The 23906-nt window shown below is 36.9% G+C and overlaps 2 protein-coding genes across 18 annotated transcripts in view; one reads left to right on the top strand and one right to left on the bottom strand.

Annotated features, from left to right (window-relative positions):
- The window catches only part of GPR155 (G protein-coupled receptor 155), a 55459-nt gene extending 45650 nt beyond the window's left edge, over window positions 1–9809 (top strand). For all 7 annotated transcript variants that reach the window (NM_001267051.2, NM_152529.7, NM_001267050.2 and 4 more), the window contains 2 exons: window positions 1345–1482; window positions 4964–9809. In NM_001267051.2, coding sequence (NP_001253980.1) covers window positions 1345–1482; window positions 4964–5264 — 439 coding nt within the window. In that variant the 3' untranslated portion in view covers window positions 5265–9809. The remainder of the gene's footprint in view (window positions 1–1344; window positions 1483–4963) is intronic.
- Window positions 9810–11308: 1499 nt separating this feature from the next.
- The window catches only part of SCRN3 (secernin 3), a 34342-nt gene continuing 21744 nt past the window's right edge, over window positions 11309–23906 (bottom strand). For 9 of the 11 annotated variants that reach the window (NM_001412202.1, NM_001412204.1, NM_001412208.1 and 6 more), the window contains 3 exons: window positions 18333–18495; window positions 16731–16905; window positions 11309–13667 (listed from right to left, as the gene is read on the bottom strand). In NM_001412202.1, coding sequence (NP_001399131.1) covers window positions 13485–13667; window positions 16731–16905; window positions 18333–18495 — 521 coding nt within the window. In that variant the 3' untranslated portion in view covers window positions 11309–13484. The remainder of the gene's footprint in view (window positions 13668–16730; window positions 16906–18332; window positions 18496–23906) is intronic. The other 2 variants (NM_024583.5, NM_001193528.2) reach the window with 1 other exon arrangement.

The raw sequence follows: 23906 nt of genomic DNA, 5'->3' as shown, positions 1-23906 counted from the left end.
GCCCTGTGATGCCCCTATCCTAGGCTTTGTATGGTGAAACTTTTACTAGGACGTATTTTTAATGCCTAAATTATAAACCTAAGAAAATATATTTGAGTGTCCAAATGATGGTACATAAAATGCTTAATTTCAACACTTGAATGTCAAATAAAAATTTGCTATATTATGCTTAAAAAAAAGATAGTGATGTTTTTAAACCTTTAGTAACTGCGAAGACACCACTAAATGCCACACAAAGGTTATAAACAACTGCAAAAAAAAATTGGAGGAACTATTACAAATCTGGCATTGTAATTTGCACTTTAACAAGAATTGATGGACATTGATTTCTATCTATGCTATTAACTATTACATAAAGTTAAATGAAACTTGAAAATGTCTTTGGAAATGGAAGTAGTAGGTGGTGTGCCCCTATGGTCTATATTTGATTGTCTGTCTCCTTTGACAACACAATTTCTCTTTTTATCAAACTGACAGCTTACGGAAAACTCAAGTTTCTTTCTAAATTGTTGGTTTTTTTATCAGCTTAGTGAAGGGTTTCTTTGAATTAAGATCAGGGATTTCTTTATGAAAAATAACAAGTAGTAATACTCCAATGTGGGGGTAGGAGGAAGAGGTCGGGACAAATCTTTCTACTTCTTGTGTTTTCAAAGTCAAAATTTGTAGAAACTGGAAGTGCTAAAGAAATGTATCCCACCAGCGCTATGAAAAGTGCCCAGTAAATGCTAATGGTTCTTTCTTCTTCATCTTTATCATTATCATCAAGATGTAGTTGCTAGGTTCATAATCATTTCATGAAAGAAGAAAAGCATAATTGGAAAGTCATTGAACTTAGTTATCAGCTTCATTTGTTGACTGGGTAAAATAATCAACGATTCTAATGTGTAGGCTTGCTGAAACAAAACTGTTTCGTACTCCAGTTTTTGGAGTACGAGTTTTTGGTATTTGTCTCTGTGGTACTAAAATAGAAAAGTGATTAAACAAAATATTTGATCTCTAATTTATCTTTGCATTTCAAAACAGTAGAATGTAGAGTAAGGAACATTTATTAGTAGAACCTGAAATGGATCAAACATGTCTGGAGGGTTTATAAAATGATTAAGTCTTCCACCCCAGTATGCTTTGAATAGGAAATTGAATGTAGAATGTTTTTGCTTCTGAGACTAATGATGTCTGGAATGTAGAATGTTTTTGCTTCTGAGACTAACGATGTCTGGGTATTGTAGATGACAGCTTTGGTGATCGACAGCTTTGGAACAGCCATTTTGATGGGGTGATAAGGCAGGAAGAGTTCTCTCTCAGTGCTTTTCTGTCCTTAAAAATGGCCATAAATTTGATTTTCAGACTTGAATTCCTATGGAACAATAAAGACACAGCAGAAAACAGGGATTCTCCTGTTTCAGAGGAAATAAAAATGACCTGTCAACAATTTATCCATTATCACCGTGACCTCTGTATCCGAAACATTGTCAAAGAAAGAAGGTAAGCAAAGTGCCAGTACAGGTTCTAGACAATTATATTTTAAATGATTAATTGATTAATTTTGGATTGTAATAGGCTAAATGAGGTGGTTGTGACTGATTACATGATTATTTTTACATATGCATGTAAAAGTTACAGGAATTATGAGTGAGTTTATAGTTTCAGAAATGGCATATAAAAGAACCATTTACGTTGATTTTAATATTTTAAAAATGTCATATAACTTCTGATTGCCATATAAAATGTGAACACTTCAGTTTAGAGTGAACCAAAATGTCATAGAATATTGACACTGATTTCAAGTTGGCCAGTAGTGTCTCTCACAAAACTTTGAGATACATTGGATTTAGAAGTGATGTTATATTCCCACCTCAGCATTTCTTGACAAATGTATTTGTCAAGAAAATGAAATGAAATTTCTGCCTCTTAATTTTGTTGCTTATGTTTCACTTCAAGTTCTAATCTTTAGTCTGTGACATAATATTTATTATACTAATCCTTAAGGTATGAAGTATATAGCAGGTTCTCTTTTAATTTTGGATGAGGAAAAAAATTTTTTTATAAACGAAGTATACAGCAGGAAATTATGAACTTTGAATAAATACTATACTACCAGTATTTCTCTTTGTCATAAAAGAGAAAACAAAACAAAATATAAAGAACCAAATACTTTTATGTCTATAACTGAAAATATGAAATGTATGAAAATTCATATGGAGGATAATTTATTTACATATATTATGCCACTGTATTTAACATATATATCATTATAATCAGAAGGTAGCCTGGTACGGAGAGTGGAAAAGGGGCTGCAGTGGGTGTGGACTAATACTAGAACTCAGCTCCTGAACTGCCGCTTGTTGGCTGTGTGACATTGGGCAAGTTCAATTCTCTAAATTTTAGTTTTCCTCTTCTTTAAAATATCGAATTCTTGGGATTGTTGAATTAGATGACAGAATGTCTGTGATAGGCATAGCCCACTTTCTGGCAACAGTAAACTATGAAGAAAAGTTAGTTTTTCACCCTTCTGAGCACAATTATTTCAAAGTGCCATCTATGAATAGTTTCGACAATTTAAAACTGCTTTTTAGGGCCGGGCGTGCTGGCTCATGCCTGTAATCCCAGCACTTTAGGAGGCCAAGGTGGGAGGGTCACCTGAGGTCAGGAGTTCAAGACCAGCCTGGCCAACATGGTGAAACCCTGTCTCTACTAAAAATACAAAACTAGCCGGGTGTGTTGGCGGGCGCCTGTAATTCAAGCTACTCAGGAGGCTGCAGCACAAGAATCGCTTGAACCCGGGAGGTGGAGGTTGCAATGAGCTGAGATCACGCCACTGCACTCTGGCTGGGCAACAGAGCAAGACTCTGTCTCAAAAACAAACAAACAAAAACCCACAAAATAACCCTGCTTTTTAAAATTAAAAAAGAGAACTCCGGGTTAGCTCTTTGAGGCCCAGTGTGATTGCCAGCTCTTGGGAAGGAAGCATAGCTTTTGCAATTTGCAGGGCTGCCAGTCTGCCTCAGTCCCATTTGGCTGAATGGACACTGGCTGGGAGCGTGCCAGCCTGTTTCCTGCCCCTTTCCAGGCTCTACAGCCTGTACAGTGTCACATTCTCTGCCACTTTGTACAGCTCCATGGGCTGGTTTTTTTGTTTGTTTCTTTGAGACAGAGTCTTACTCCCATCGCCCAGGCTGGAGTGCAGTGGCGCAATCTCACTGCAGCCCCAATCTCCTGGGCTCAGCCTTCTGAGAAGCTGGAACTACAGGTGCGTGCCACCATACCCAGCTAATTTTTTGTATTTTTTTAGTAGAGATGGAGTTTTGCCATGTTGGCCAGGCTGGTCTCAAACTCCTGAGCTCAAGTGATCTGCCCACCTCGGCCTCCCAAAAAAAGTGCTGGGATTACAAGCGTGAGCCACCATACCCAGCCATGGGCTGTTATTATAGCTGCCTGATCACAGTCATCAGGAAATAAATACTCTGTTGGTGTCTGGAATAGAAGGTGTCAGGCTATAGGCCAGGCACGGTGGCTCACGCCTGTAATCCCAGCACTTTGGGAGGCTGAGGTGGGCAGATCACCTGAGGTCGGGAGTTCGAGACCAGCCTGACCAACATGGAGAAATCCCGTCTCTACTAAAAACACAAAATTAGCCAGGTGTGGTGGCGCATGCCTGTAATCCCATCTACTCGGGAGGCTGAGGCAAGAGAATCACTTGAACCCAGGAGACGGAGGTTGTGGGGTAAGCTGAGATCGTGCCATTGCACTCCAGCCTGGGCAACAAGAGTGAAACTTTGTCTCAAAAAAAAAAAAAAAAAAAAAAGGTGTTAGGCCATAAATAAAAAAATCAACAAGCAAAAAGAAGGCTAACACAGAGTATAATATCCAGGCTTTTGTCGAATGTGGTGTTTCTAGTTGCAAGGCATAAATTAAGATAACTTATCTCTAAATGAAATACTGATGTTAAAATAATGTAGTTTTATGTATTTGAGAAAACTTTTCATGAGTATTAACCTTTTTTTCTAATTCTTATATAAACTCTAATGAATATTCATTTATGGTGAAATGTTTTTAAATTTTTGTCACCTATTTCTCCTTTCACCTTGATCTTCATCCACCATTTCCCACGTCAAGCACTTTAGGTTTTGTAGCCTGAATGATGCTTGTGGACAGATTCATGTTGTCTATCTATAGTGTATTTGTGTGGAAATGTACAGCACTCGTGTAATTGGATTTTTTTCCCTGTATCTCTCTATCCTTTGTTTATTTGTACATACTTAAGACATCCCATATTTGCATCAGGAAGATAGATTTTTAAATATTCAAGAAGTAGATTCACAAAGCACATTTTAAAAATCTTAGATTTGTAGCAAGTTAGATCTCACTTATTCTTTCCTTGCTTCCTAATGAAGCAAATTTCTGACAAACATATCAGTAGGATTGTCTTGCCTGCTGAGGGCAAGAAGAAAGGCTACTTGTGGGGCACTATGATGTATGTAGTGCATACGTATACATGATGTATATGGAGCTAAAAATAAAGTTTGATTTGAATAGTGAAAATAATCACTTCTTAAGAGCTCGTGAAAAATATTTAGTGTTCCTGACACAAATTACTTAGTATAACTAAAAGTATAAATTATAAAATATGTCATATTCAGCTATTACAGGACAGATCTGATAACAGGCTACTATAAAAAGTATTTCTTTGTAAGTGCATTTACATTATCTATGACTTTTTTTGGTATTGTTTAAGCATTTCTGTTTTCACAAGCATTACTGGCATATTTTCTTTTTCTCCAGTGGGTCTTTCTAGGTCAGGAGAGTTAACAAACCCTTTCTATTCAGAACAGTTTCCTTCCTGCTATGCTTGTAACTACCATGCTGTCTTTCCTTGTTTCCTTCTATTTTTTCTTGCTTGTCCTCTATCATGCAGTGCTGATACCAGATTTACAGAAAATATGGGTGAATCATTCCTTTGACACAGGTGTGGTGCAAAGACTTCTGCTGGAACTTTCTGTGGCTGTGACCTGGTGAGCTGGCTAATTGAAGTCGGCCTTGCCTCCGACCGTGGTGAAGCTGTGATATACGGAGACAGGCTGGTACAAGGGGGAGTCATCCAACATATTACCAACGAGTATGAATTCCGGGATGAGTACTTGTTTTACAGATTTCTTCAAAAGAGTCCTGAACAGAGTCCTCCTGCTATTAATGCAAACACTCTCCAACAGGAAAGATATAAAGAAATTGAGCATTCATCCCCACCCTCACATTCCCCTAAGACCTAAATTATGCAGGGGAGAACCCTACATGGAATCATATTCTAGCCGCGTATTCATTAGTTTTTAGCTGGGTGACCTTGGGCAAGTTAACAGAGGCAACCTCTCTGAGCCTCAGTTGTCTCTTCTGTAAAATGTGAAAAGATGTGCTCCCACCACATGCGCAGGGTCTGTGATTTTACATGTATGTAAAACACATAGGAAGCTGACTTAGGAAAAAGAGAAAACCAAATTAAAGTTCTGATAATGAATATAATATAGTCATCCTTTAGTATCCAAGGGGATTGGTTCCAGGACTCCTGAAGATCCCAAAATCTGAGGATACTCAAGTCCCTTATATAAAATGGTGTAGGCCGGGCATGGTGGCTCACGCCTGTAATCCCAGTACTTTGGGAGGCCGAGTCAGGTGGATCACCTGAGGTCAGGAGTTCAAGACCAGCCTGGCCAACATGGCGAAACCCCGTCTCTACTATAAAATACAAAAAATTAGTTGGGTGTGGTGGCGGGTGCCTGTAATCCCAGCTACTCAGGAGGCTGAGGCAGGAGAATCGCTTGAATCTGGGAGGCAGAGGTTGCTGTGAGCCGAGATCGTGCCACTGCACTCCAGCCTGAGCAACAGAGCAAGACTCTATCTCAAAAATAAAATAAAATAAAATAAAATAATTAATAAAATGGTGTAGTATTTGCATATAACCTATGCACATTCTCCCATATAGTTTAATCATCTTTAGATACTTATAATGCCTAATACAATGTAAATGCTATGTAAATAGTTGTTGTTATACTGTATTGTTTAGGGAATAACAATAAGAAAAACAGTCTGTACATGTTCACTACAGATGCAACCATTGTTAAGCCTGACTACATCTTTTTATCTGCGGTTGATTGAATCTATGGATGTGGAACCTGTGCATATGGAGGGTCAACTGTACTATAAATAATACGAATATGCCAACATTATATAATCATTGCTTTCTGCAACTGTTTACTATAATTTCAAAATTAATATCCTATTAACTGTTCCTATAAATTATCAAATTTGGCAAGTGTATTACTAGCAGGAGATGGACCTTAAATTATGACAACTTTATATTTTTTGATAGCATCTCTTGAAAAAGAATTTTAATGATTCTAATAAGAGGTTCTTTTTCTTTTTTCCATTTCCTTGACAAATAGTACTCATTTAAAAACTAGAGGGCTAGGCTTAGTGGCTCACGCCTGTAATCTCAGCACTTTGGGAGGCTGAGGCGGGCAGATCGCTTGAGGTCAGGAGTTCAAGACCAGCCCGGGCAACGTGGTGAAACCCGGTCTGTACTAAAAAAAAAAAAAAAGAAAAAGAAAAAGAAAAAAGAATACCCAGGTGTGGTAGTGCATGCCTGTAGTCCCAGCTACTTTGGAGACTGAGGTGGGAGTACCCCTTGAGCCTGGGAGGCGCAGGTTGCAGTGAACCAAGATCACATCACTGCACTTCAACCTGGGTGACAGAGCAAGACCCTGTCTCAAAAACAAAAAACAAGCAAAAAAAACCTAGAGGCACTATTTTTTTTTAAAGTTTGTCTTTTCTTTTCTACCCAAATTACTAATCTATGCCATTAAGGAAAGGAATAAGAACCTCCATATGTATTATTATCTCCACAGTCCTGCAGAAGTACAATCTGATCTTTAACTTTCATGCTACAAATAATAATTTGAGTAGATTAATTTGAATTTTATCAACAAAATTATTGCCATATGATGTATCATTTCTGTGTTTGAACAAAGCATCGTAATGCAGGATAACTTCTACTTTATTCCCTGTAGTTAAAAAAAAAAAAACTATATAGTTCAAGCCAATATTTAAAAATTCTAAACCTAGGCTGGGCATGGTGACTCATACCTGTAATCCCAGCACTTTGGGAGGCCGAGGCAGGTGAATTGCTTCAGCCCAGGAGTTCGAGACCAGCCTGGCCAATGTGGTGAAACCCCATCTCTACTAAAAAAAAAAAAAAAAAAAAAAATTAGCCAGGTGTGGTGGTGTGCACCTGTAATCCCAGCTACCCAGGAGGCTGAGGCAGGAAAATTGCTTGAAACCAGGAGGCAGAGGTTGCAGTGAGCTGAGATCGTGCCACTGCACTCCAGCCTGAGTGTCAGAGTGAGACTCTGTCTCAGAAAAAAAAAAAAAAATTCTAAAGATTACATTTAGAATTTAGTCTTTTTAAAGTGTCCATGTATAAAAATATATAATTTTTAAAATTACTAAATGTTGCCTTTTCTCTTAGTCTAATATTTTAGCTACTAAAACAAAATATAAACTGGATAGCTTATAAACAACATAAACTTATTTCTCACAGTTTTGGAGGCTGTGAAGTCCAAGATTAAGGCACTAACAGATCTAGTGTCTGGTAAGGCAAATTTCTGGCTCATAGATGGTACCTTCTTGCTGTGTCCCCACATGGTAGATGGGAAGAACTGGTCTCATTGGCCCCTTATAAGGACATTAATTCCACTCAATAGGCTCCACCCTCATGATCTAATAACCTCTCAAAGGCCCTACCTCCTAATACTAACACATTGAGGATGTGACTTCAACTTTACATTTCTACAGGCAGAGAAGTGGGGCTGTGTAAATTCTTCCCATCAGTACTTGAATGTTCATTTAACAAATAACTTATCGAGCATCTAGCATGTTCCAGACACAATCTGAACACTGAGCACACAACAGTTGGAACAAATATGATTCCTATCCTCATGGAGCTTCTATTCTCCTGTGAAAAACAGATGTTAAACATGATTGAGGATTAGGTTTCAACATAAGAATTCTAGGAGGACACAGACATTTAGACCATAGCATCTTCAGGTAAACTTTATCTTCAGTAAATTAAAGAGATCTATTTAGATGACCTTTGAGCATCTTAATTATTAGATGTCAGTGCTAGTTTAACTTATTTTAAACGTTTCAGATATTTATTTAATTATACTTTAAGTGTCTCATGTAAAAAAGTTATTTATAAAATAATTTATAGGGTTAGAGTCATTGCCCTTTTAATGCAACAAATAAACAGTTTTTTAAAAACCTGCATGGGGGCCAGGCGCGGTGGTTCATACCTGCAATCCCAGCACTTTGGGAGGTCGAGGCTGGCGGATCACGAGGTCAGGAGATCGAGACCACCCTGATTAATGCGGTGAAATCCCGTCTCTACTAAAAATACAAAAAATTAGCCAGACGTGGTGGTGGGCACCTATAGTCCCAGCTACTCGGGAGGCTGAGGCAGGAGAATGGCATGAACCCGGAAGGCGGAGCTTGCAGTGAACCAAGATCGCGCCACTGCACTCCAGCCTGGGCGACAGAGTGAGACTCCATCGCAAAAAAAAAAAAAAAAAAACCTGCATGGAAGCCTAGTATATTTATTAATAACAAATAAATTATACTTTAGTGTACTATTAACCTATACCAATTTTAAGTTGTGATTAGGGAATGGGGATGTTTTTAAGCTGAATTGTCTTGCTGCGGAACTTTCCTTTTTTAATAAGACCATATTATGACTCTGAATGCTCAAGGGTAAGTCTAAGGCCTCATTGCTGTTACCAGGAGATTTTTCTAGTTACAGTAATAAAGATGTTAATTCACATGCATGCAGACAACTGAAACTCAAGTGGAGAATTTGTTTGTGAACAAGTCATACTACTTCTGTTATTTGCATGAATGGAATCTGCAATATCTTTTTCCATGGGAGACCCTAAAAGAAAACCCTGGATCAGAATGATCTGCAGTTTCAGATAATAAAGGCTTTTAAGAGACATTTTTAGAATTAAAAATATGCTAATTTTATTAAATGAAAATATTTGTAACTGTTAACTTTCTCACTGACAAAGCAAGTTTCTCAATAAAATACCTATTTTAACTTGCATTACTGACATCTTTTCTTTGAGTAATCTGAATAATGCAGAAGCCATCATAGAGGTCTTTTCTATACATTCTCAATGTTTTCTTAAATGGGTTTCCTGAGTTCTGTTCTTCATGACTCTGGGCTCTGCAAACAGGGTTTCCCAATTACGCATTCTATAAACACTTTTATGAATGAGTCAATATGACATTGAGTCCTTTTCATACATTTCATCATTTCCAATATGTAGAGTGACAGCTAGAAAAATGATAAAATTTTGATTAAAACCTATCTCTTTTTCTTCAGCATAGTCAATTGTTTTCTTAACTCTCAATGAGTAACTCCATGCCTAGCTTGTGCTTAGCTTTCAATATTTTTAGACTAAGACAAAGTGTATTTGGCATTTTGAGAACAACAATTAATGGTCAGTAAATTTCTAAAGCAAGAAAAATGTGAAACTAGTGTTTTATATGTTTGTTACGCAGCAGAATGCGGCTCTTAGTGTTTGCCCCTTCATATCTCATCATGTAAAATATTAAATTACTTTAGGCCACTGCACATAGGTAGTCCTGTCATGAGTGATGGCTGGAGAAAAGTTCAGGATCATAAATGTTATCATCATTCTTCAAGAAAAGATGAGATTATAAATTTCTGCAATTGGTATGATAAAAGGTTGAAATAATTAATGAAAAAGAAAACATTAGCTCTGTAGACCTGTTTTGGGCACACTTTACAAGAAGAAACTAACTCTCCAAAATTCTAGGCTATGTAGTTATTTCTAAAGCAAAACTTTTGATTCATGATTAACATATATAAGCTGGTGTTTTCATCAAAGATCAAACAAAATAGCCTTGTCTAGAATACTCGTATTATTCCCCTGGCTTATTAAGTAATGGTAAATAATACCAGTATCTAAGAGGTGACAGGTTGACCTGAGACTTATCAAAGGATACCAAGTTGTGCAGATAGATTGTCTAGCTAGTTTCTTCAACTTTACATTTCTACAGGTAGAGAAGAGGGCTGTGTAAATTCTTCCCATCAGTACTTGAATATTCATTTAACAAATATGTATCGAGCATCTAGCATGTGCCAGACACAATCTGAACACTGAGCACACAACAGTGGGAATAAATATGATTCCTATCTGCATGGAGCTTCTATTCTGTGAAAAACAGATGTTAAACATGATTGACCTGTGACCAGGATCACCTGTGCCTCCAAGAGTATTAGAGAGACCTTCTGGTGTGAGGAAAACTCCCCTGAGGAAGTCATATTTTAGCAAAACTCTAAAGGGTGTCAAGTATTACTTATATAAAAGGGAGCACATGGAATGAATAGTGCAAGCAGACAAATACGGCCATGAGGAAGGCACATTCAAGGACATGAAAAAGCAGCATAGTAGAAACCTAAAAAACAACGGTTGAAGGTGTAATAAGATATAAATGAGGCAGATCAGTGGGATCCCTTTGGTATTTAAAGAGGTTTAGGCTGGGCACAGTGGCTCACGCCTATAATCCCAGCACTTTGGGAGGGCAAGGCAGGTGGATCACCTGAGGTCAGGAGTTCTAGATCAGCCTGGCCAACCTGGTAAAACCCTGTCTTTACTAAAAAATACAAAAATTAGCCGGGCGTGGTGGCAGGCGCCTCTAATCCCAGCTACTCGGGTGGCTGAGGCAGGAGAATCGCCTGAACCCAGGAGGCAGAGGTTGCAGTGAGCTGAGAATGCGACATTGCACTCCACACTCCAGCCTGGGGGACAAGAATGAGACTTTGTCTCAAAAAAAAAAAAAAAAGTTTTAGACTCAAAAATAAGAAAATTAACAACCTAGGTAAACAATGGGCAAAAGATCTGAACAGACAACTCACCAAAGAAGATAAACAGATAAAAGCATGTGAAAATGTCCAACACCATATATCATCAGGGAATTGTAAATTAAAACAAGATACCATTACACACCTATTAGAATGGCCAAAATCCAAAATGCTGACAACAATAAATGCTGACAAGAATATACGGCAACAGAAGCTCTTATTCATTGCTGATAGGGATGCAAAATGGTAGCCACTGTGGAAGACAGTTTGGCAGTTTCTTGGGAAACTAAACATAGTCTTACCACATGATCCAGCAATTGTGCTCCTTAGTATTTACAAAAAATTAGTTGAAAACACGTCCACACAGAAACCTTCACATGGATGTCTACGGCAGGTTTATTCATAATTTTCAAAACTTGGAAGCAACCAAGATGTCCTTCAGTAGTAGTATATTCAGACAATCGAATATTACTTAGCACTAAAAGAAATGAGCTATCAAGTCATGAAAAGACATGCAGGAACCTTAAATGGATATTACTAAGTAAGTTAAAGAAGACAATCTTAAGAGGTCACATACTGTATGATTCCAATGATATGACATATGGAAAAGGCAAAACTATGGAGACAGTAAAAAGATCAGTGGTTGCCAGGGGTTGGAGGGAGGGTGGGATAAATAGGCAGAACACAGAAGATTTTTAGGGCAGTGAAACTACTCTGTATAATACTATAATGGTGGATACATGTCATTTTATAATTATCAAAGCCCATAGGATGTACTACATCAAGAGTGATCTCTAACTTGAACCATGGCCTTTGGGTGATAATGTGTCAATGTAGGGCCATTGATTCTAACAAATGTACCATTCTGGTGCTGGGATGTTGATAGTGGGGGAGGCTATGCATGTATGCTGATAGGGGCTGTATTGGAACTCTGTACTTTCTGTTCAATTTTGCTGTGAACCTAAAACTGCTCCAAAAAATAAAGTCTCTTTTAAAAAAGAGTTTTAGGAGGGGAATTCATAATCAGATTTAAATTTGTAATAGATTGGCTGCAGTGACTCATGTGGGTGGAAATAAAGAACAAAAATGGGTGTAGGAGAACAGTTAACGCAATGGTCTAGCTAAAAGACGGTGCTAGTTTAGGCCAAGGTGGCAGCAAAGGAGAAGGTGAAAACATGCTGCCCCTAGAGAGGGAAATAAGATTCCCGTAAGTGTAACGAACTGTTTGCCCTTAGTTTCCTCATCTATTAAAGGAGAGAAGAGGAGTATAGGGGTTAGAAGACAGCCTATCACTGAACCAAACTTAAGGCAAACAGAATCAACTGAGTTCTTGAGTCAGACATCTTTTCTTTTGTAATGTCAACCCTCTATTAGACAAGAGCAGTATCAGGCAGACGATGGTATTTATGAGAGAACTTTGAACACATAACTTCCTGAGCACTCTTTGAATATAATGACCCACTTCTTTATTAACCTAATTGTGCTGATAGTGACTAGTAAATATGATAATGTAACCAAATACCAAAATGGACATTCTAGGAACTCAAAAATACTTAGTGTTATTTTCAGTTGGATTTTTCTTTTGTTTATATTTGCAATTTTGAGTCTTACTTGGTAATCTTTATGTAACCTAAACAATGTTTTATAAACTTTAGGAAGCTATTACTCATGTATAAAGTTCATAAAAGTTCATAATATATAATGCATTATAGTGTTCAAAATGTTATAATGTTCATAATATACTAATAATTCTATTTCATTGCCACTACCTCATTCTTGTTTCTGTTTTCACTGAGTGAACAGAAGTAAACAATGAGAGAGATTTCAGACCCAGAAACAGTATATCCTAAGGTTTTGGTTCTTTTATCTTATTCTCTAATCTCCCAAACAAGCTCTTCTAAAAATATATCTTATTAACATAAAAGCCTATTAAGGAGAATGACCCTAAAAATGCTAGATAATCAGAGCTACAAGCTCACTGGTTAGCCAAGTCTTGACAAAGAGCATGTTTGAGTTTAACAAAAGTGCATTTGCAGAACTAATATACTGTATTGACAATGTGTAAATCTAGACATTTTTCTTGTTAGAGCTGGTTAATGTTTGCCTAAAGCACAAACAACTTACCACTTGAGATATTTTTCATGACTAAAGAAAAATCTGCTTTCTTGATGTAACTGACAAAATGATTTGAGGGTACTACATAATTATAATAAATATAAATCCATGCGTCATTTTAATGTTTCACTCTTTATATATAATTGAATACTTAGTTATTGTGACAAAAAGTTACTATGGCTAAAGAAAATAATGCAAGTACATCACCTGAAATAACACCTGTATCCCACGATACATGAATCCAATTCCAATGCTGTTTTCTTTCTATTTCAGCAACACTATACGTAGTTTAATAGTCAAGATACCACTTGAATACTATCCAAGAATAATCAGATCTGCTCAAGTTAGGTTTATATAATTTACCAAGGTGATAGATTCTGACTTTGAAGATTACTGACCACTGATCACTAAGAACTAATATTAGCTGACCATATGATCACTAAGAACTAACTTTGACTGATAAATTTGACTGATAAATTTGAATTTCATCTTTTGTACACTGAGGAAAGAGATTAACAATTTTCTCCACATCAAGATGCTTGTTTTGAAGGATTGATTCCATCTCTCTGAATAGTTCTTTCTCCAGTTTCCTCATGTTGTCCAACATTATTTTGGCTTTTTCCTAAACAATTAAAAATATAAAGATAAACACATATACATATACACATAAATCTAACCAAATTCAACCCATCTCTACAAATAAGGTTTGTTCATGCTGGCTTCTGATTGTGGTTTGGTTCCCTTCTTGTTCTTTAGAGACAGAAAGAATGAAATGAAATTCTTTGGGAAAATCATTGCTCTAGATTGAGTTAATGCATGAATACCAAATTATTTTTAGTAGAAAAGACAAAAACAATTATAAGAGTAGTTTATAAGTAAAAAACCTAAAAGACAACAGGACAATAGAAAATCTCATATGAACTGTGTATGTGGAAGGTTGCTGAAAACTGAGGCTGAAATATTTTTATCAATTTTGATCTTTTACATTTAAAACCAATATTATCAGATTAATACAATAGAACAATAATGTTCAGGAAAAAATCAACCAAAAGAAGACATTTCCTCTATGACTTCATCCTTATTCAATAAAGGGAGAAAAAAGGTCTATGATTCTTACAGAAAGAAGTAATTTTTAAATTGTTGATGAATCACCATGATCAGTTATAAGGTACTTATCTAAAGAAAAAGTATGTAAGAAAAAACTTGGCCAGGCGCAGTGGCTCACGCCTGTAACCCCAGCACTTTGGGAGGCCATGGCGGGTGGATCACGAGGTCAGGAGTTCGAGACCAGCCTGCCAATATGGTAAAACCCCGTCTCTACTAAAAATACAAAAATTAGCTGGGCGTGGTGGCGCACGCCTGTAGTCCCAGCTACTCGGGAGGCTGAGGCAGGAGAATCGCTTGAACCTGGAAGGCGGAGGTTGCAGTGAGCTGAGATCGCACCAGGGCACTCCAGCCTGGACGACAGAGTGAGACTCTGTCTCAAAATAAATAAATAAATAAAAAGTTACTAGAAAGTGAGCATAATTTGTTTTTGTTTTTGTTTTGTTTTGTTTTGTTTTGGAGATGGAGTCTCATTCTGTCGCCCAGGCTAAAGTGCAATAGCACAGTCTCAGCTCACTGCAACCTCCGCCTCCTGGGTTCAAGCGATTCCCCTGCCTCAGCCTCCCGAGTAGTTGGTATTACAGGCACCCGCCACCAAGCCTGGCTAATTTTTGTAGTTTTAGTACAGACGGGGTTTCATCATGTTGGTCAGGCTGGTGTCAAACTCCTGACCTAAGTTGATCTACCCGCCTTGGCCTCCCAAAGTGCTGGGATTATAGGCGTGAGCCACCGCGCCCGGCCTGTGAGCATAATTTTTAAAATTTGAACCATTATGGGGTAGAACTCTACAAAACAAATAACCTTAACATGGACTTCAGTATGAAATTGTATGCAGCTTTTTTCTGAGGAAACACTACATTTCATATTAGTGGGAAAAAAATGGATTTTGTCTATAAATGGTATTGGAATAATTTGTTACCTTTTTGGAAAACAGAGTTAAAATCCCTACTTCATCAAATACACAAAAGTAAATTCCAGATGGACTAAAGAACTAAATTTTTAAAAAACATATATATGCTAGAAGTTATATTTATATTGAGGTGAGGCAGGCCTTTTGAAACATGAAATCAAGGTGCCTTAAAGCAAAAGACTAATAAATATAATTGACTAAGTTTAAAATTTTTGTCTGACAAAAAAGCTAAATGTCAAACAATAAACTGGGATAAAATTCCGCCTTATTACAAACAGTTAATATTCACATATTTTTACCTATTTAAACCAAAAAACAAAAATAACCCAAAATCAATGGAAAAATAGCCTAAGGGAAAAAATAGACAAGTAATTTAAAATAAAATACTCATGACCAATAGACATAGGAGAAGGCTTTTAATCTTACTAGTAATCAAGAAATGTAAATTAAAACTACCAATAGGATTGACTCTCCCTAACACACAAAAGTAGTTATTTACAGAGCCAGGACCAGAACCCAGCTCTTTTACTCTTCTTCCCTCAAATTCCATTATCTTTCCACTACTTTAAGTTGTCAATCGACATCTTATGATTTTTAAGTAAAGCCTAAAATACTTACAGCTTTAGAATTTTTATTTAAAAATAAAAAATTTAAATAAAAATTTTCAAATAAAAATAAGAAGTCTGGCAGAGCTTGTTGCTTTGAGCATAAGTGAAATAGGTGAGAGAAAAAAAGGCATAGAAACAATGCCAACACTGCAGACAAAAATAAATAAATTATTACCTGGAGGAAAATTCATTTAATCCGTTTCAGTGTGGACAGAATGTAAATGTATATGCCTTGACAAAGTAAAAGGAATTACAGGCAAGAAAAACCAGGAGGTAGAAACAGACGAGAAAAGATTTAAGATGGTTAATGTTTTCTTTCATTGCAGGGGGTCAACAGATGGATGGCTTTAGGCAGCCTTTCTATTCGCTTCTTATCCATTATTTTTCTTTAGCGAGCTGAATAGGTATAGACATTATAAAATGACCTATCTATCTATACCAGAAAAAAATAAATCCTTATTTCTAGAGAAGAGATTTTGAGTGATATATTGCTCTTATATAATGCTTACATTTTAAAATAATGAGGATGTATCACTTTTTAAAAACTAAAACTCATTATTATTTTAAGTCTCTGGGGTTTTAAGTCACTTTCAATTAATTTTAATCTGGGTCTGTATCATCAAGAACATTACGTTAAGAAACCAGGTCAACCGCTCTTTGGAGGCTTTGTAATTTTTGGTGTGGGATATATACTAAGCAAGTTACTCAAACTCTCCTAGACTCAGATACTTTATCAGCAAAGTGGGAATCAAAATAGTACCCATTTCATAAAGTGGTTGTGAAGATTAGATAAAATAATTCATGTAAAAGTGCTATGTAAGTGTTCAACAAATGTTAGCTATTATTATTATGTTTAATGTACTAAGTTTCTCTACAAGATTCACATACATGTATTCATAACCAAAGATAAAAATAATACAGCTCTACTATAGTCTGAGCATCTAAACTATTCCTAAAACTATTTCTTATAAGAAGGGAGGAAAGCTGATACTCCAAAGTTCAAAATACGGATTGAATCTAACTTTACACTTAATGATATAACAAAGAATATAATCTAGCATACCTCATTATTATTTACTACTTCCAATGCCTGTTGATGTTTTTGGTAGAGTGGGTGTCTTCTGTCAGGCTTAAAATGTGATTTCTTTTTAACTAGATCTTCAAGTTCAAATGTTGGTGAACTGGTATCCAATAGTTGTGAAATATGTGGCACAAATATGAAAGGCTTAAAAACAGATCTAGAAAAAAGAGTCTTTATTAAATTATCATGTCAATATATAAAAATATTCAGTGTTAGTCTAAGTCTTCTAAGATTCTCTCAATTAGAAGTTTCTGTTAATGATGCTACATACTAACTTGTTCCTGTCACATTAGTTATACCCATGCCTGTCTTCCCTGGGGACACTGGGATCTCCTTTGGGGCAGGGAACCATACTTTATTTAGTGTTGTGTTCCCATGAACCTAACAGAGGACCTGGCACATAAACAGTGTCAGCAAAGTAATAGTTTGTCTTTCCTACTTCACATTCCACAGTTGGAGGATAAGAACAACCTTTAATGTTACAGAAGAGGATTAGGACTTGGGGTGAACATCAGCGCCAGTGTCAGTAAAGGAGGACACATGCTGGGCACAGTGGCTCATGCCTGTAATCCCAGCACTTTCAGAGGTCAAGGTGGGAGAATCTCTTGAGACCAGGAGTTCAAGAATAGCCTTGGGCAACATAGCCAGAACCCCATCTCCACAAAAAAATTAAAAATTAGCCAGGCATGGTGGCATGCACCTGCAGTACCAGCTATTTGGGAAGCTAAGGCAGGAGGATCACTCGAGCCCAGGAGTTCAAGGCTACAGCATGCTGACTGTGCCACTGCACTCCATTCTAGCCTGGGTGACAGAGCAAGGCCCTGTGTCAAAAAAAAAAAAAAAAAAAAAAAAAAGGAAGACTTGGCCGGGTGCGGTGGCTCACGCCTGTAATCCCAGCATGTTGGGAGGCCGAGGTGGGCGGATCACAAAGTCAGGAGATCAAGACCATCCTGGCTAACACAGTGAAACCCTGTCTCTACTAAAAATACAAAAAATTAGCTGGGTGTGGTGGCGCACGCATGTAATCCCAGCTACTAGGGAGGCTGAGGCATGAGAATCTCTTGAACTTGGGAGGCAGAGGTTGCAGTGAGCTGAGATCATGCCATTGCACTCCAACCTGGGTGACAGAGCGAGACTCTGTCTCAAAATAGTAATAATAATAATTAAATAAAACTGGAACTATTGATATTTTAAGTTTCACATGTATTTTCTAGATACAAGTGCATAAGTAAATCCTGCACAACTACATCATTTAACATTTTTACTGTTATGAATTATCTAATATCATATCTGAAATGTGAGTAAGAAAATCTATCTACTTTCTTTTCTTGACTATGTTAAATCTATTTGTACGAAGAAGGAGTAGGGATAACGCATACAAGAAACTATTCACATTTCCTTCCCATAAAAAGAGAACAGTTACACATTTGTGGATATTGCAGATTAAAGCCTGAACAGAAAATATATTAAAAATTATTGTCCTAGTTGTATAACAAAAATTTATCCTGACAAAATTATTAACATACTAATGACTCTACTCCATCCCCTGACCCCTTGCTGGTTTATAGTATTTTGTGGCTTCACCTCTCAGGATCAGGAGTCCCTGTAAAGAAGTGAATGCAAGGAAGGCTGGAGTCTTGAGGTAAAATAGAAACCATGCTTGCAGTGGTCAGGAATTCTCCCTCCATATTAATGCCACTTGGTTTATCTCGAAGAATTTCCATCATTGTTTCAAAAGTTATATTTCCTAGAGAAATAATTTTTAAAATCATCAAATACATATGCATATACGGATGCCTTGCAAATATGAACTGCTTTCTCTACTGATAATATGTGAGATATTAGTCTTGACATAAATTAAGAGACTGACTATAAACAAACTTTGTATCAACTACAATTAGATTCATTCCACTGTCACAGGAAAGGTATGTTATTTTAAATATAAACTATGCAAAGTCTCAAAGCCATTGTAACAGGTAAAAAAATCCCTAGAAAAAGGAATTAATAACGCAAAAATATATTCAATCCCATTGCCCTTACAGAATTTTTTTTTTTTTTTTTTGAGACAGAGTCTTGTTCTGTCAGGCTAGAGTGCAGTGGTGCAATCTTGGCTCACTGCAATCTCTGTCTCCTGGGTTCAAGTGATTCTCGTGCCTCAGCCTCCCAAGTAGCTGGGACTAAAGTCGCATGTCACCATGCCCAACTAATTTTTGTATTTTTGGTAGAGACAGGGTTTCACCATGTTGGCCAGGCTGGTCTTGAACTCCTGACCTCAGGTGATCCTCCCCAGCTCGGCCTCCCGAAGTGCTGGGATTACAGGTGTGAGCCACTGCACCCAGCCTATGCCTGCTAATTTTAAAATTTTTCTGTAGAGATGGGGGTCTTGCTATGTTGCCCAGGCTGGTCTCCAATGCCTGGCCTTAAGCAATCCTCCCCCATCAGCCTCCCAAAGTGCCAGGATTACAGAAATGAGCCACTGTGCCTAGGCTTTTGTCTTTAATTGAAAAAATTAAGTAAATATAATATAGTTACTGATGATTTGGATTTAAGTAGACCATTTTATTATTAGTTTTCTATATATTCCATCTATTCTTTGTCTCTTTTTCTCCATTCTTGTCTTCTTTTTATCAATTATTTATTACTCCAGTTCTCCCATCAGCTTATTATTTATACACTTAAAAAAATCTTATTACTTTCTCTTGATTTACTACAGTGGGCCTTAAATTAACTCTTTACCACTTACCAATTAACGCAAGCAGGACCCATACAGAACTTAGCTCCAATTACTGCCTATCTTTTGTGCTATTCTAATGCACTTTAATTTCTACTGTGTTCGTCTGGGTCTTCTGAGAAGCAGATGCCACAACATGGGATCAAATATTTTAGGAGAAATGCCTGTGACAGAAAATGGGGAGGGAACCTGGAAAGCCTCAGAGAATCATCAGACTATGATACAATCTGAAGTCTGAGTTTAGTAGAGAAGGAAGAGAAGTTGGAGAAGTATCCCAGGCTGCCATGCCATCTAAGGAAAGCTGGGCCAGGCTGTCAGGGAGTCCTTGATCCAAGTCAGCCATTAGAGGAGTCCTGTGTATCCCTAGAATGGACCTGCCTTTGTCTCCCTGCTGCTCTCAGTCACTGGCTAAAAGCATCCTGTGAAAAATAGAGTGCTCCATGAAATCCATGCACAATAGACTTTAAGCACTGCAGCTGTGGCCATTGGTTAGAAAGTTATTATTATTTTCAACAATGTTTGTCTAGTTTTACCTATGTATTTACTGTTTCTGTTGCTCTTCATCTACTCCTGCGTACCTTGCTTCTATCTGCCTGAAGAATGCCCGTTAGCATTTCTTTTAGTGCCAATTAGCTAGTAATTCTCTGTTTTATTTCACCTCTATTTTTAGAGGATATTTTTCACTAGATATACAATTCTAAATTAGTAGTTTATCTTTCTCCATCACCTTAAAGTTGTCATTTTACAATCTTTAGAATCCCCTCCCTTCTGTTGAAAAGTTAGCTGTCAGCTTTATATTTGTTCCTTGAAGATATTTTTTTTCCTCTGGATGTGTTTCAGATTTTTCTGTCTTTTTTCCCCCTCAGAAATCTTACTATGATGGGCCTAGGTGTGGCTTCCTCTTATTTGTCCTTCTCGGGATTTGCAGAGCTTCTTGAGGCTGTTGCTTGATGACTTTTATCAGTTTGGGGAAATTCTTGGCCAGTATCCTTCAACTATTGCTTTTGCCCTTCCCTATTTTCTCTCCCCTTTCCTGTTGAGTCTCCAATCTTATGTATGTGAGACCTTTTCACTGAGTCCTATACATGCTTCTCAGATCCTTGTCTATATTTTCTAAACTTTTATTTCTGTTTGAATTGGAATCTTTTCTACTGATCCTCCAGTTCACTAATGTTTTTCTCCTGTTATACCTAATCTGTTGTTAAATCAATCTATTGGATTCTTAATTTCAGTTATAATTTTTCAGTTGTATTATTTCCATTTGGTTCTTTTACAGACTCCAGTTCCCTGATGAAATTCTCCATCTTTTCTTCTAATTATTTTGAATATATAATAGTAATTTCAAAGTCTGTTTCCAATAAAGCTAATGTGTAGACAGCCTGTGGGTCAGTTTCTACTATCTACTTTTTCTCTTGGTTTTCAGTCATTTGGTCTTATTTCTTAGCATGCCTGATACTTTCCATTGAATGAAATTTTACAGAGGCTCTGCATGATATTTTCTTTCGCAGAGCATTTAATATTCTTTTGGCAACCAGATAGAATATAGGTAGATTACCTTGATCCAGTGTTGAGACTAGTCTATCCCTTGTTTGTTCTTACTCTTCCTAAGGAGTAGCATTTCTGGGATCTCAATTGAAAGCTTAGGGGTATTTCCCAGGTACCTTCTTCTCGGCTGGCCCTCCAGTCAAATTTTTGTCCCTAAGGCCTTGTGAGACTGCAAAAAAAAATCTCTGCTTAGCTTTTAAGGCTCCTAGCAGCTACTTTCTGCTTGATTTCTCAGTGTTGTGTCTCATCCTACCTATGTGCTGCTTAGAAGTTGGCAATTGCGTTAAGAAACTGTGACACAGAAAGTCAAGGTCTTCTCAATGTGTAGAGTCTTCTCTCAGCCTTCAGGATCTAGGCCCTTCGTCTCTACTCTTTTGTGTACTCTTTTGGGTATTCATCCATGTCTTCCAACAAGAGAGGTTTTTTCCCTGCAGATCTCATAGCTATTCCTGGAAGGAAGTTGGTCTAATACCAGTTACTCCTTCATAACCAGCCCTGTGCTTTTTAACCACTCCACTGCACTATTATGCCTCCCATTTATTAAATACATAAGTCTCTTTTTATCCTGAAGTAGTACCAATTTCTTAATAACAGTAATGAATGTGGTGAATCCAGGTAACAAGTAACAAGTACAGTTTAAAAAACAACAACAACAACAAAAAACACAGGCCAGGCAAGCTGGCTTATGCCTGTAATCCCACCAGTTTGGGAGTCTGAGGCAGGAGTATCACTTGATACTGTGAGCCCAGGAGTTTGAGACCAGCCTGGGCAACATGGCAAGTCCGCCGTCTATTACCAAAAAAAAAAATTTAGCCAGGTGTGGTAATGCATGCCTGTAGTTCCAGCTTCTCAGGAGGCTGAGGCAGGAGGATTGTTTAAGCCCAGGAGATTGAGGTTACAGTAAACTATGATCGTGCCACCGCACTCCAGCCTGGGCGACAGTGCAAGACCCTGTCAATCACTCAATCAATCACAAAACATAGTTTCTGCCAACAGATATTTTTAGATACTTTATATGGAAATGTTTAATTATTGTATTTCCATGAGTTCTAAAGAAACAAAAAAACTTTCATTTAATATGGTTGATTAAACACAGGTATCTCCTTCCTCTCTCTCAAAACCCTATAATGACAGTAAAAGAATTAAAAAATGAAGTAACTCATAAAAACAAAGAGAGCATGAAAAGCAAGAATCTCTCCCCCAACTATTCCCATAATTGGGAATTAAAAGAAAAAGCTCACAGCAAGCCTGTATCCAAATTGTAATTCACAATATTTCAAATTAAAACTGACTTCCATATAAAATAATCTAATGTTCTGCCCTCAGTTAATTATGCAGGCTACCAACTATTTTATGTTAATGACAACAGATTTATACAAGTCTACATTCTCTTATCCAGTTTCTCCACAATATAGCCATTACTTCAAAATCAAGAAAAATAACTTATTGAATTTATAGATAACTTGTTACAGAAATAATATATTTCTGTTAGTTTTGAAAAACACAGTAAAGAAGGTGCGCCTAAAAGCAGCCCTTAATATTAAAACTAAACAATAAAGCAAAAACCTGCCATCCACACCTATATATCAGGCACATAGTTTCAACACCTAGTGAGCCTTAAAAATGATTCAAATCCAAATTCCTATAAATGGCAAGTTTTAATAAAAAACAGTGTCAGAACCATAATACTGTGATAATACAGGTATTATGAAAATATTTTCTGTATTCAAAACCTACAATTCTCAAAATGAAAGGAGGATTTACATGATCACTTGAGTGGGATAGCCATAAGTAATCCACTAGCAAGCACTGAGTAAGTACTGAGACTGCAGTGGCAGGGTTCAGTAAAATAAATGCAAAACATAGGGTGTAATTTCATTGCAATTTAAGCTAGTTATTTAAAATATATGAGTGAATATAGATTCAATTTGGATATACATGCAGCACAGTTAACAGCTATCAGGTAGGGATAGTTGGAAAGAAGAGAGGTAGGCTGTTCTAACTAGAAAAATCATAGGAAAAATTAACTATAACGTACTGGTAGACAATTTTCTGTGAAAGTATTAGAAAGACATATTCTTTTGTCAAAGCACAGAAAGCTAGATGAACTATATTTCACACTTGAGAAAAAGTAAGTTTCATGTCAGATGCATCTATTCCTATAATCATGTATGCATTTCAAATCTATGATTCAGTTATTCTTAAATATAACTGAATTATTATTATGATGTAGTAGCTAATTGGCTTATAATTATTTCTTTTTTCTTTCTTTCTTTTGTCCAATTACCCTAAACCTTAGAATTCTTGGCATTTTCCTCTCCATCTTGATTATGCATTGTTGTTCTTCATTTTTAAAGAATATCTGCTAAATTTATTTCCTGAGCCTTTAAGTTTATTACTAGCAAAAAGTATGCAACAGTGATCTTTGTTAAGCTATCTGCAAATTACAATTTAATTCAAATCAACTAACAATACTTTGTTAATTTATTCAATACTTACTAAGCACACACAACATAATGAATTAGGTGCTGAGAGAAAAATACGACAAGTAAGAAAGTCCATTTTTTTCAGTTTCATAGAGAAGAGCACAAACACTGCTGGTTTCTTCATTTGTAAAATGAAGATATCTATTTCACATGGTTGCTTAGAGAATAATATAATTAGGCCAGGTGCGGCGGCTGACGCCTGTAATTCCAGCACTTTGGGAGGCCGAGGTGGGCGGATCATGAGGTCAGAAGTTTGACACCAGCCTGGCCAACAAAATGAAACCCTGTCTCTACTAAAAATACAAAAAATTAGCTGGGCTTGGTGGTGAGTGCCTGTAATCCCAGCTACTTGGGAGGCTGAGGCAGGAGAATCGCTTAAACCCGGGAGGCAGAGGT

Source organism: Homo sapiens, chromosome 2, assembly GCF_000001405.40.
Source record: "Homo sapiens chromosome 2, GRCh38.p14 Primary Assembly".
NCBI lineage: Eukaryota > Metazoa > Chordata > Mammalia > Primates > Hominidae > Homo > Homo sapiens.
This window is presented reverse-complemented; position numbering and strand designations above follow the sequence as displayed.